Source organism: Homo sapiens, chromosome 8 (genome assembly GCF_000001405.40).
Source record: "Homo sapiens chromosome 8, GRCh38.p14 Primary Assembly".
Classification (NCBI taxonomy): domain Eukaryota; kingdom Metazoa; phylum Chordata; class Mammalia; order Primates; family Hominidae; genus Homo; species Homo sapiens.
Genome location: NC_000008.11, coordinates 5,591,587 through 5,606,127, shown reverse-complemented (window position 1 = coordinate 5,606,127; position 14,541 = coordinate 5,591,587). Strand labels below are relative to the sequence as shown.

At 39.9% G+C, this 14,541-nt stretch overlaps 1 long non-coding RNA gene across 1 annotated transcript; it reads left to right on the top strand.

Annotated features, from left to right (window-relative positions):
- The first annotated feature begins 9,229 nt into the window (after positions 1 to 9,229).
- LOC105377794 (uncharacterized) lies at positions 9,230 to 11,244 on the top strand. The gene is made up of 3 exons (XR_941373.3): positions 9,230 to 9,504; positions 9,620 to 9,774; positions 10,781 to 11,244. It is a non-coding gene; the product is annotated as an uncharacterized LOC105377794 (long non-coding RNA).
- The last annotated feature ends 3,297 nt before the right edge of the window (positions 11,245 to 14,541 follow it).

The following is a 14,541-nucleotide window of genomic DNA, read 5'->3' as shown; positions in this document are numbered from 1 at the left end:
TGTTGTGTCCAATACCAAGTTTAACAACAACCACTGTTGCAATGTCAGCAACTCAAATTTAGATCTTTCTTATTTGCTGACAGCTCTCTCTCTCTCGTGGGCACTTTGAAGCACGAAGGCAACCCCTTGATACCTCTGCACTGAGAGTGAAAAGGGTGTGGGGGCATCCTGCCCCGTGTGGCTCACTCTGCTGGTCCAGGGAGCCCCCTGCTGAATTCCAGCGCTGTCCTGATTGTCAGATAAGGGCAATTCAAGACAATAAATCGCTCACACAATTTGAAACAGATAAAAGACCTTCTCCCCTTTTGAGCTTTTGGGAGTGATTTAAATTCCTCCTAATTAAAAATATCACAACCTGGGATCAACATCAACATTTAGCAAATTGTTAACACTTAACTCAAAGGAGGATAGGAGAGGTTGCTGATTCCACAGACCTTCATGTTGGGGTTGGGGAAGAATTGGGTTCAAAGAGCTGACCCAAATCAGGCTCACCTCCCATTACAAACATTCGCACACAGACCCAAGATCTGACATAAATAGTTAACACACCGCCATGAGAGGGTGTTTGTGTATGTGTCTGCATTTGGTGTATGTGTGTGTATGTGTGTGTGTGTGTGTGTGTCTGTGTTTGGTGTGTGTGTGTGTCTATGGTGTTGGCTGTGTTTAGTGTGTGTATATCTGGTGTTTGGTGTGTGTGTGTGTCTGTATTTGGTGTGTGTATGTCTGTGTTTGTGTCCTATTTGGTGTAGGTGTATTGGGTGCTTGTGTTTAACGTGTGTGTGTGTCTATGTTTGTGTCTGTGGTTGGTGTGTCACTGTATATGCGTCTGTTTAGTTTGTCTGTGTGTGTCTGTGTTCGGTGTGCCAAGGAAGAGTTCTTGTTTATGTGTATCTTGTTTAATTTTTTACCGATTAGCCTACTAGGATGATCTATTCCCCTTTTTAACTTGGTTTAGATTAATTACAGTATATTTATTTTAAAACATTTTTTTTCATCTTTTAAGCATTAAAAAATGTTTTCTAACGGGCAGATCTCTCCACTTGTTCATTTTTTAATCTTTCCAGATTCTCATATCTGGTCAAAGATGTGAAGGAGCAGGGCTGATTTGAGATTTTTGTGGTTGTTCTTCATGGCTCTAACATCACTCCTGCACAAGACCCTGTTCACAAACCTCTTTGAGGAAACTCAAAATGAGGTGCACTGGGTAGAATTCAGAAATTCCTAAGACACCCCAGCAAAATACAATCGTGAGGGGAGTCTCCTTTAGTTCGTCCACCCATTCAAATGCTAATGTCTTCTAGAAAACATCATCACAGACACACACAGAAATGACGTTTTGCCAGCTGTCTGGACTTCCCTTAGCCCGGTCAATTTGACACGTAAAATTAACCATCAAAGCAACAAACCAAACGGATAGATCAAGCTCAAATACTCAGGTCATGGCAGACGACGCTCTGATCAGTAAACTTGAGTGACAGAAAGAGCACACACCCTGGAGTCAGAAACACCTGCGTTCACATCTCAGCTCTTCAATTTACAATCTGCAATTGTGGAAAGTTACATAAGCTCTCTAGCCTTAGTTCTCTCTATATCCAAAACGTGATAGTAGCATTGTCAAGAAGACAAAATATTTAAAGAAACTACATCTCAAAGTACCCGGTGCACAAGTAATGGGCAGAAAAGGCCTGGGCTCAAGCACAGGTCCCAGGATGAGCAATTTCTCTCAGCACCAGGAGTTCAACCGGCAGAGGATGACGTGTGCTCCTTCCTGGAGGGAGTGGCTCACCACCCCTCTCTGCCTCCAGATGACCAGAAATTCTTGGAGATTCTCCAGCATGAAGCAAAAAAAGGGAACTTGTGCTCATTGTCCTGCACAGCAACCTGGAGACATCTTTTCTTCTTGAACATTGGAAAAGGCTTGTGACATTTAGAGACAGAGAAATAAAAATTGTTCTCTGAAGAATAATAAGTGAGGCAGTGATTCTGTTTTCACACCAGATCCCAGAACACCAGGTCTGGTCAAGCCTGCAGGTAAGGAATTGGTATGCAGCTTGCAGAGGGATGGGGAGGGCGGGGCAGATAATCAACTTAAATGTGTCTTGTCTGCGGGAAAAGAGGATATTAATATTCCAGTGAAAACTCTAGTGGAATTCATTTTATGGAACTCCGTTTCCCTCGACTTTTTTTGTAAGTGCTTCGGGTTAACCTTTTGCAGATCAGCTCCTCTCTCACGGACGTGTGCCACAGAATGCATAAAGCTATGTAGACAGTGGCATGCGGTGATTCATACCACTAATTACTTATAAATCAGACAAAATGCTTAGTGAGATACCGCTTATAGCCAGAATTCACCCATTTATTTACTGACATCGTGTTGTGTTTGTAAAAACAGAGGGAATAGATCTGCCTATTCTGATTAATTTCATTCATTCTCTCACCGTATCAAGAACACATGAAAAATCACGCTAGATAATGTAAAAAAAAAGCAATATTATTCCATTGCAATATTGAATAAAACGCAATATTGAAACATTGAGTAAGGGCTTCAGTACTAAACAAAAACATGTCTAGATATCAGTTTCATGAGCATCAAATAAAAATTAAATAATAAACAGCCAAAACTTTCCCCTTCTCTCCCTCTCTCTCTCTTTTCTCTCTCCTCTCTCTCTTTCTCTGTCTCTCTCTCTCGGTCTCTCTCTCTCTCTTTCTTTCTCTGTCCCCCCCAGCCCCCCACCAATCTCTCTCTTACTAAGACTCAGGACCATTGAGCTAAGCTGGGAATACACCCCCGCTGCATGGGCGTCTTCTACAGTTTTAATTAATCTAATAAACCATGAGATATTTGAGGTCCAGAACTACTTCTTATTAACTTTCAAACAGTCAATGCTAACCAACTGCACAGCATATAAAAATCAGCTCCAAAATTATTTTCTGAATATTCTACATTGTCTTTTTAATTAAGTGATAAAAATAAGAAACAAGAGAGAGTTCTAAGGAGCTTTCACAGAACATCCTCCAAGGTGACCTAATGCGTAAGTCAGATCTGTATGGGTATCACCATTCAACCAACTCCAAATTCACCATTAATGTTTGTTAAAATTATTAACATTCAGAACCACCTGATTTCACTGACCAAGAGTCCTGTGTAACATGTCACAGAAGAAATGCTGGTTAGACTGATGACTTTTTAAAATGCATTTTGTAAACCTCATGTTTTTATCTTAATAATCTATTCTCATTAAAGCTAAAAACCAGTATATTGCTAGGTTATAGATTGTAAATTCTGGCTTCATTCCACTTTGGAAGTAGAACCTACGTTTGTTCCCAGGTAGTCTGCTCATAATGATATAAAGCCTCTGGATTACCTAGGATCACAAACTGTGCTTTGGTGGCCTGACCTGAAAGTGTCCTGTCTGCCCTGTGAAACTGTTGGAACCAGGAACCAGAATTCATAAAGCCAGTAACAAAACCATTTTTAAATATGCATACTCATCTCCAATATGCATCAGGCAGATGACAATAATAATGTTGGTGATGGTGCCTCAACACAAAGAAGGGCCGAGACCCTGGGCCCACACCTTGCTGGGCATCTTCCTGTCCATACAGCCCATTGGATACTTTAGGTAAGAGTCCAATTCCAGCTGGCCTCCTGGGTCTTTCTCCAAAGCTCACAGTTCCCACGGAGGTTGTGTGATGATGCTCAGACCCCTAGAGCAGCTATGAATGCTAAAGGCCTTAAGTTGACTTCATCAATGGTTTCCTTCTCTGGTCTTGCCTGACCTTTCCTTCTTTGTTTGTTTGTTTTCTGTACTACCTGTACAGGTGCTGGGTTCACTCAAGAGATGTCATTTCCCATCAATTTACTGTACCCTTTTATATTTTTACAACATCTTCCAATGCATTTGAAGAATATCGTGTGGTTCCCGTTATGGGAAGATCACTTCTAAATGTCTTCCCTACGACTTTACATGCAAATTTTAAGTCTCACTAAACTTGCATTGTGTGCTGGGCACTTTCGTGTGACTCTCTTGTTTCAACCTCACAATGCCCTGCTCAGGTGGATGCTTCTACTGCCTTTTTACACACAAGAGGACCCAAGTTCAGGGATCACTACAAAGGGAAATTCTCCAAATTGCAGATTCTGGTTTCAAATTATGATTCGGTTGATCAGTTGTAGGCTCTTGCTCTTTTATCAGATTTTTTGTCATCTGCCTGCATATTTAAATGTCATTTACCAGAGTGGAGACATTTGGGCTGAAAAACAGCCTGAGAAATTATAAAGAATACTGAAATGAAGTCACCCTGGTTCTAAATTCAGATTTTCCACTGATTTGCTATATGACTGATACAAGTCACTCTTTGTGGCTAGGTCCCATTTCCATCATCTGTAAAGTGATGCTGAAGGAGGTGATGATTTTAAAACTGATATATCTAAAGGCATGGCTATAGTGTCTACAATTTTATTTATTTTTCCAACAATGTGTGATAAATAAGTTTATTCATGAGAATTTTTTTTTTTTAATTTGACACAGGGAGAAAACTTGTTTCCAAATCATGGTTCAGATCGTCAGACTTATAAGCAAGTTTTTCCTCCTCTTATTCTACCTCCAGCCTCCTCATCTTTTGCCATCCTTCGCAGCTCACAATAACTCAGCACACATACACATACAGACTCACCTTCACACTCACATGTACAGACACACCTTCCACTGGCAGAAGCATGTGCACACACAGGACTCCTCCGGGGCTTGCCCTGAGTTCCACCACAACAGGCTTTTTACTAACCTTGCTATCTGTTAAGTAAGGGGGAAGGAGAAGAATGAAAGAGTATGGGAGTTGGATAAGAAAGAAAAAAAAAAACGGGGAGGTGGAGAATAAGTCTTTGGTTCTTTCTCCTGCAAATATCCAATCCTGACCTCGTGGCATTTTTTTTTTTGTTTTTTGACAGAGTCTCACTCTGTTGCCCAGGCTGGAGTGCAGTGGCGCAATCTCAACTCATTGGAACTTCTGTCTCCTGGGTTCTAGCGATTTTCCTGCCTCTGCCTCCAAAGTAGCTGGGACTAGTCGCTGGTCACCATGCACAGCTAATTTTTGTGTTTTTAGTAGAGATGGGGTTTCACTACATTGGCCAGGCTGGTCTTGCATCTGCTTTTAATGATTCTGCCTCTCTTAAATTAGCTGTAAGGGCTGGCAGTAATGTTTCTTGATCATCCAAGTGAAGAAATGAAGCTTTTAATATTCATTCATAAGTAATGTTTGTATTTGTTAAACCAATGCAATAGTCCATGTGCAAGAGATTCCAGCATATTTACCATTAGTTTCTAGCCACACCTCACCTTTCACACACTGGAATTAAAGGGTATTCAAGAGAGCAGAGATGATTTTTAAGAAAATAGTCATAAACTCAGAGAATGTTAGGAAATGGTAGGTCTTTCATGGTCCTGATCATAGAATAAAAGTCCTGATCATAGCCCACGTGTTCTTGCATGAAAGGACTCCCACCTGTCTCTATTTTCATTCTCCATCACACACACCATTCATCTTTCAGTTTCTTAGACAGGGTCAAGCTCTTTTCTGTCTCTATTCACTCATTCAGGATGATTTTCCTGCTCAGAACCCTCTTTCTCTGGGCTCCTCTCACAACCGCCTCCTTCATCTCTCTAGGGAAGTAAGTGCTGGCCTCTCTGCAGGCATCTCCGATGATCTTGACTATGGTAGCACACCTGAGTGCTGGAAATCATGCCTCTAATGTGTGCATTTACTTGTACATCTGCCTTTGATCCACATTAGATTGTGCCAACAAGAGGCCTAAGGCCACATCTGCATTCCCGGGTACTGATGGCCATGCCTACCACAATGGCTGGAATGGAGTAGGCACTCACTATGTACTGGTCATGGCCAGGGGTCATCCTGCTTTTCTTTAGGAACAATTCAGGCCTTAAAAAATCAAGAGATCTGCTGAAGGCTGCATGACTAATCAGGGTAAAATAAGGCCAAGGCTTCAAAGCAGGCCTTCTGACTTTCAAACCAATGCTACCTCTAAGGTGCCCTGATACCATGCCATGGCAGATGCATTACCTCTGGGCTTCCCTATCCTGACTCCGTTATGTCTCAATCGTATGATTTGTATTTCCTTATGTGGCTGATTAGAATTAAAAAGTTATTTTTTTCCCAAGGGCAGATCCTAGCTGGAGCCTTGTAGTCAGCATTCTTGAAGATGTCGCCAATGAAATAATGACTGCCAAGAAATGCTCAATTAAAATTTGAGGCAAAACTAATTGCTGTGAATGATTTAAGTGAAGGACAACAGGAGGTCCCATTTCAAAAAGTGTGAGATTCTCCTGATCGGTACTCAGTGCTATGTACTTCAAAGAGTGTGAGCAGACAGCACTGGGAATGGTAATAAATCTAGGAGTCCCCCTGGGTGAGACAGCCAGACTGGAGGGGATCCTTCGCAAAACACCACCCTGCCTGCACACTGGGTTGGAGCCTCAGGAAGTCTGCAGCACTTGCAGCGGGGAGGAGCCCGGTCCCTCCCCTTCCTATGTAGAACCTGGGATTCCAACAGTGAGGCAGGAAGCACTCTAGAAGGGAGCTCTGGCAGGGCAGAGTCCCTGTTTCCCCCTTTTCTTCCTTTTCACTCAATAAAACCCTGTCTTACTCAACACTGAATTTGTCTGTAAGCCTGAATATTCATGGCCGTGGGACAAAAGACCCCCGTCTTTAGCTGAACTAATGAGAAGTCCTGCAGCATTCAGTCTACACCCTTATTTGATGTATAGAAGTACTAAGGTTCTGAGGGAAGAAGCCATGTGCTTAAACAAGCTGGTCTCCCGACTCTTAATTTGATGTAATTTTCACTGAAAATCACAATTTCCAGACAAGCAAGGAGTAAAAGCAAACAAAAACGTATGGACAATCCCTCCCGACAGTTTCCCATGTGCTCATGCCCCCATCCTTCAACAGTTATTTGTTAAATAGTTATTTGTTTCCTAACGGCAGATCCTAGCCGGAGCCTTGTAATCAGCATTTCTGAAGATGTCTCTTCAATAATACCCATCACACGTGCTTACAGTGCAGAACTCCCCTCAGCTCTCTCCCAGCCTGCAATCAACACGTTCCCCTCTACATCTTTCTGGTTCCTCCACCCTGGGCACATTGACCCTACCTCACCCCAATCTACTTCCCCACGCATTGTCGCTGCATGAGACAATACCAGATTCCCGTGGATAAATTCAGTCTTTACCTTGCTTGACATTTTATTTATTCAAGCACTTTGGTAGCACCTGCTCTCTGCCAGGCGCTGTTCTACAAACTTTATAAATAGTAATGTAGTCAATGCCCATCCCAGTCTTTCAGAGTGGGTGCCATTTTTATCACCCCTATGTAACAGAAGGGTCTGAATCACAGAAGATAATAACTGCCCCACAGCTAAATAAGTGTGTGCTTCAGACTCATCAAGCCCTCCTGTCTCTTGCCTGGGAGCATAGGGAACTGGCTGTCTTTTCTCCTGACTTTCTGAACACCTCATCCTTCAGGCTACTCAGCCTCTTTTTCAGATTTCTCATCTACAGCCATTTCTTAGAGAATGATGCTGTCAGAGATTCTCTCCTACACTCTCTGGAAGCTCACACCTACCCCTCTGGTTGGGGTGTGGTATTCGGCTGTCCTTTGTAACGCTATTGCTTCCAAAACTGTATTTTCAGTGCCGACTTCTTGCCTGGAATCCACGCACATATATACAGCTGCTTCCTCTTGGTGGGAAATTCAGGCTCACATTTTTAAAACTGAACTTCCACTTCCTCCTCTAAAGCTCTGCTTCTCATTGTGTGCCTCTATCAAAAAAATACTCTGCTATCCAAACAGTAGCTCAAGGCAGAAGCTTAGCAGTTTTCCTCGAGTTCAGCACTTCCAATGAACTACCCAATCCTAAGATTCTACCTCCTAAATATGGCTGGACTCCATTTATATTTTTCATTCCAATGGTCTCTATTCTAGTTTGAAACACAGTGACTTATTACATTAGCGCAATATCTTCCTAGCCAGTGTTCCTAGCACCAGCTCTGCCCACATCCAATTATTGGCTACGTGTGTAAGATTATTGCTAAAACGGATAACAAAACGTTCCTCCTTCCTTGAAAATGCTTCGTGGCTTTCCGAAATTCTCAGGAAACAGTATGAAAAGAGCCACCTATTTATGAGGTTTTTCGTGATCTGGCCCCACTCTACCTGCTCAAACTTTCTTAATATTTCTTCCCATTGAATAGAAGCAATGTTTTAGCCAAATGCATCTAAACAAGTGTCCACTGAAAATGCTGTCCCCTGAGCTTCCTGTCTCACCCCCATGCCCTGCTTGCACAGATGGTACCCCCGCCTTCCAGATTTTAACACATCCGGTAATTCCCAGGAAACTTTGATTCCTCAAGACTGTTAGAATCCACAAGTATAGGCTTCATTACACCTTGTGTGTCTCCCGTATTAATATATTTTGTTGTTTTTTGTTTAATTTTTTGTTTTCTTGAGATAGGGTCTCAATCCATTGCCCAGGCTGGAGCATCATGGCCCACTACAGCCTCAACCTCCTGTGTCCAAGTCATCTTCCCACCTCAGCCTTCCCAGTAGGGACTACAGGCACACCCCACCATGTCCAGCTAATTTTTTGACAGAGATGGGGTACTGCCATGTTGCCCAGGCCGGTTTTGAACTCCTGGGCTCATGTGATCCTCTTACCTCGGCCTCTCAAAGTGCTGTACTAATGTTTAAACAAAGAAACAGGTAGCAAGAACACTGTGGTTAGTTCCCCATCCGCTGCTGAGCTCCCTGTCTTCAGAATGGTGGAGAAAACAGAGAACCTGGAACATAGTAGGCAGATAAACAATACCTGTAAAATGATATAGTGAATATATTTCCATCACTTCACTAACTCTGTATCTTTAATTTTGAAGGACACTGTGTTCCCCAGAGTTCACTTTTTAATGTAATTCACCTTTTAAAATTATACATTGGATACCTCTTAGCATAGCAATGTACTTTTTAAAGACATAAAATTCTATAGCAGTGAATTTTAGGATTTCCTTACAAAAACCACATTGCTAGGATAAAAAAAGAAAGAAAGAAAGTGTATTCAGCATGCTGTGGCATTCCTGAAGCGAATATATTTAGCATGCAATATTGTAGGGTCTTTAACTCATGATTGACTTTTTCTGTGTAGGTGGAATTTTTTTTTTAAATCAGAATTATTCTGGGCACAGAGATTTTGTTTTTCTGGTAACGGACCAGATTCTATAAGGGTTTAAAGTTCTCTTTCGCTGTAAATGCTGCAGCTTTGGGAACTGTTTGGCATTGAAACTACGTGGTTTTATGTGTAATCACTCTTTTTTCGTGACTCTCTGGAAGCTGCGAAGTGTTATTTAGAACTGCTGTAGGCAAAAAGAATCATATTTCTGTGTCATTCTTCAAAGATGTTTGTGTGATGACAGCTTGATTCTTCAGACCTGCTCAAGGGTAAGACTGTCTTATTTTTATTTTTATTTAAAAAGTAATTTTGCTACATTATATGGTTGGATTATTTTTTTTTTCTAGCAAAGCCTCATCTCTCAAACCTGTTTTTCTATTTTAGACTCTTTTCTTCTCATTTGCCTTTATTTTGATGGTTTGGGGAAACATCTTTTAGAGAAGAACATGTCATGAACATGAGAGCACAGACATCTCTTCCACAGACTGACTTCAAATCTTTTGAGCAAATACCCAGGAGTAAGATTGCCAGATCATATGGTAATTCTGTTACACAGAGTGGTGAATATAGTGAATAACAGTATATATTGTGCACTTAAAAACAGCGAAAAGAATACATTTCAAAGATTCTAACTGTAAAAAGTTACATTAAGAATTTGCAGTTCTCCCTGCAAAAATTTACATATATGTATTTGTGCAGAAGAATATGATAATTAGTTTGATTTAACTATTCCACATTGTACTCATAAAGTGATAACCTCTCCTTGTACCCCATAAATATGGGCACTTACAAGTTGTCATTTTACAGAACAATTTTAAATAGAAAAATATAAAGAAGAAAATGTACTGAAATAAAAACATCTGCACCTTCTACATCTCAAAAAAGAAATACTGACCAAGATTTTGAGCTCGCTAAAACAAAAGTCTTTAATTTTTCCAGAGTGTATTAAAACCTCAGTGGACGCTCTTAAATTCAAAATGTACATAATGGCATAAACTTCATGTTCTGTTCATTTTCACCTGTTGGAGAGAATTAGAGAAGGTGATCATACTTTCTACTTACTATAGTAGATCATACTTTCTCCTTACTATAGTAGATAATATTTTAACTCTGAAAAAAGAGAATGCAGGATTCTCACTACTTATAAAAACAGATGATTCACCTCAGCATTCTCATTGAGGAAAGCTTTTTAAAAAATGTTAAAAGCATCAAAGAGCTACAGGTCATGCAAAATTATGGAAACAAACCTCAAAGAAGACAAAAACCAAGTGTAGGGCCCACCCATCTCCCTTTTGTCCTGAGGGCAATCGCCAATTTTGAAAAAATATCAGTGAAACTGTGCAGAATCTATTGACTTTGTGTGGTGAGGGAATTGAATGCAGCCGACAAGGCTTGTCCGAATTAGTAATAATCATAAACCTGGCGCCAGTTTAATCTATGAACCAGAGTGATGACCCCTGAATTCAAGTGTGCTGGGTATCGAGCTTTCGTTTTCTTTTGACAACCAGCACTCATCTCCACTCCCTTCTGTTTTCTTCATGTTAGAGAACCAGGAACCCTGGGAACTTCATTTCCTAGACTTTCAAGAAGGACTTCAAAGATTTTAGATACTTCCAAAAGTAGAAACCAGTAGAAGAAAGTACTGTGCCTCCAGAGAAGACATGTTTTTCAAAAGCATCATGGTGAGGTCGTTTTTACTAAGTTCCAGAGAGTCCTGAAACTTCCTGATTTCCACATGCAACTTTCAGCTGTTCCCGATCCATTTCTTTTTAATGATCAGAATGGTTTTGCTTTCTTGATGGACTCCTAATCGATACAATAAAAGAGAATAAGAAGTAAATCTGCACTTAAATGAATGTATACACCCAAATGGTGTCAACTGGGTGGTCCAGAGAATTGTAAATCTTGCTATTGCAGAGTGCACCTGGCTAGATTTTCAGTGCCCCACATGCCTGCTCGCTCCCTTAGGGGGAACAGAAAAAAAATAAAACTTGCATCTTCTACCTCAAGTTATTTTCGCAAATTATTTTCCCAAATCAGAATATAATTAAAGATAACCAAGTACAAGAGAACAAGATATATATACTACAACAATATGAAACAATGAACAAGAGAAATAATTGCACAAAAAGATATTGGCTTATTAGGTAGAAATTGTTGTTAAAATACACTTGCTATAGTGAAGTAAATAAAAAGCCAGACTTGGCCAGTGAAGAGGGCTCACACCTGTAATCCCAGCACTTTGGGAGGCCAAAGTGGGAAGATCACTTGAGGTAAGGAGTTCAAGATCAGCCTGACCAACATGGCAAAAACCTGTCTCTACTAAAATACAAAAAATAGCCAGGCATCGTGATGCGTGCCTGTCATCCCAGCTACTTGGGGGGCTGAGGCAGTAGAAATGCTTGAACCCAGGAGGTGAAGTTTGCAGTGAGCTGAGATTACACCACTGCACTCCAGCCTGGGTGACAGAGCGAGACTCCATCTCAAAAATAAAAATAAAAATAAAATAAAATAAATGAAAAAAAACAGGATTAAAAATGTCTAAGAAACAGCAAAATATAAAATGACATAGCACATTAAGAAATAGAGAAAATGAAAATAAAAACTACTGTCCCCAAAACAAATAATTGAAAAGTTGAGCTAAACAGTATATTAGACACAGTTAAAGAGAAAATTGATTAATTATAACATACATCAGAAAAAATATCTAGAGAGCAAGACACAGAGATAAGATAAAAAATATTTAAAGAAAGAACGTGTGAGAAAGCTTCAAAATAGATAAAACTAACACGTAGGTTCAAGAAGTCCACTGAATCTTATAAATAAACACATTTATACATATCATACTGAAATGATAGAAAACCAAAGATGAAGATAAACATTACCTTCAAATCACCCATAGTCAGACTGACAACCAATTTCTCAGAGACAACATGAGCCATGTATGCAGGAATAATATACTCAGTATTCTGAAATAAAAGTAACTACCAACCTAAAGTTCTATATTAACATACATTTCCTAAAAGGATAAAGGAAGAATGAAGACAATTTCAGACCATACAAAAACAAAATAAAACACCAGAGTTCTTCATCCAAAAACATGCTGTAACAAAACTTCTAATTGATACAGATTCTACATATTCATTCATAATGGAAAAAAAATAAAGAACAGAGACAATGATAAATGCAGGGTTCTATCAAAATACATATTGATGACATTTGGAAATACTATTACTTCCTCAAAGATTTTTGTCAGACACACACACATACATACATACGTATATTACATGGCCATAATAACATATCAGGAAAGTGATGAATGAAAAACTCCAGGGGTAAGGTAGAGATACTGATTAATATTAGAAGTTAATGAGTTAAGTAAAAGTGCGTGCTTTATTTGGAGGAAGTAGTAAATTAAAAGAATTAGATAATGTAATTTTCAGAGTAACACAGGGAAAAAGATGTGATAAAAATAATCCTTCCAAAAGAAGACAAGAAATAACAGGGGCAGGGTGGGGAAAAACAGAGCAAGTAAAACTACGGTAAAGCAAACTTTACAATAGTACTATGGCTACTTCTACCGTAATAATGATGACATATTTAAACCCAACACATCATCAATAACACTCAAGGGAATAAAAGTTTCAGCTAAATAACAAAAATTTTCAGATTGGGTAAAAAGCTTTCTGGCTATATGCTGTTTATAAGAGACAAATTTAAACCAATGTATACAAAAATGTAAAGTAAAAATATGGAAAAATGATAACACCTATTTATAAAACAAATAATACTGTTACATCTATATTAATATCAGTCAAAATATACTTTAAAGCCAGAAGAATAGCTGTCATTCTAACACAAGCAGATGTGTTATAGAAAACAAAACACTACAGGGTTTAAGACAAAATAAAGTTAGGGACACACCAATTGTAAAGTTGGTCAGTGGAATATAAAATACATGACAACCTGATAAATTTGGTTGCACCAACTTGAGTCATGTTAAGTGGTTGAGAATTACATAAATACTGCAATAAATATTTACTTTGAAAAAACTTGATATTTCCTTGTAGAATCGGGTGTTAGAGGGATTGCAGTTTATGAATAATTATAAAACAGTGAACGAAGGTGATCTAAAATCTGGAGAAAACAAGAAAACTACCAGATGTGAATGGATGTGAAAGGTAGATGTTCAAGGTATATGTTGGGTGTATGTGTGCCTTGGGGTGTGTATGTGTGGGCTCTATGTGTGGTGTGATGTGGTAGGTATGTGTGTTAGTATGTGTGTGGTGTGTGTGTGTGTATGTATTTGTGGTTTTTGTAGTGTGGTGTGTGATGGAGTGTGTAGGTGTCCATGTTTTGTGGAATGTGATGTGCGATATGTGTGTGCTATGTGGTGTGTGTGTGTATGTGTGGTTTGTGTGGTGTGTGTGCATGTGATATAGTGTTTAAATGTCCATGTTTTGTGGAATGTGATGTGTGATATGTGTGAGGTGTGTGTGTGGTATGAGTGGTGAGTACGTGTGATGCTTGTGTGTGTAGTTTGTGTGGGGCATAGGGTGATGTAGGGTGTGTGTGTTTCTGTGGTGTTGAGTATTGCAGGACCTGGCCAACAGCCCACAGTACAACGGTGCTGTTTCTTTGTTCCCAGGCAGAGGATCCGCAGGTCGAGAAATAATAGACACACACAAGATAGTGAAAGCTGGGTCCAGGGGGATCACCGCCTTCTCGTCCTATGGTGCCACCAATGCACTGGATATACCAGCATTTATTATTAAGTTTAGTGAAGTCAGGGTTAGGTTAGTGAGGGATTTGGAGTCATTTGATTATGAAGTGAGATGGTCACATGGGGATGAAGTAATTCTTTAATATAACATCTGTATGCAGAAGTACAGTATACAGAGATAAGAATTTACAATATAGTGTGTGCATCAGTAATTTCTAACAGAGCCCTAAAACAGAAACACAGTCTTTCCATAACCTATGACTAGAAAGATATTAATCAGCAGTAACAGTTGCAGCAACAGGTGGTTACAAACAATCCATAGAAACAGGACGTGAAGCTAGACAACAGGTTAGACCAGAAATTCTCAGCGGGGAGTATGCCTTAACCCTAAAGAGGCCTAGAAGAGCCTTGGCAAGATGAGGGCGTTTATAGCCCTATCTTATCCATATGGACAGGCACCCCCCATGTGTCTGTTTATAGGCTCTCCACAAGGGTTGCATTCATTCCCAGAGCTAAGAACATCTGCTTTTCTGGGATAGGAATCTTGGTGATGTGAAACCTCCCTGACTGCACTTCTGTTCAT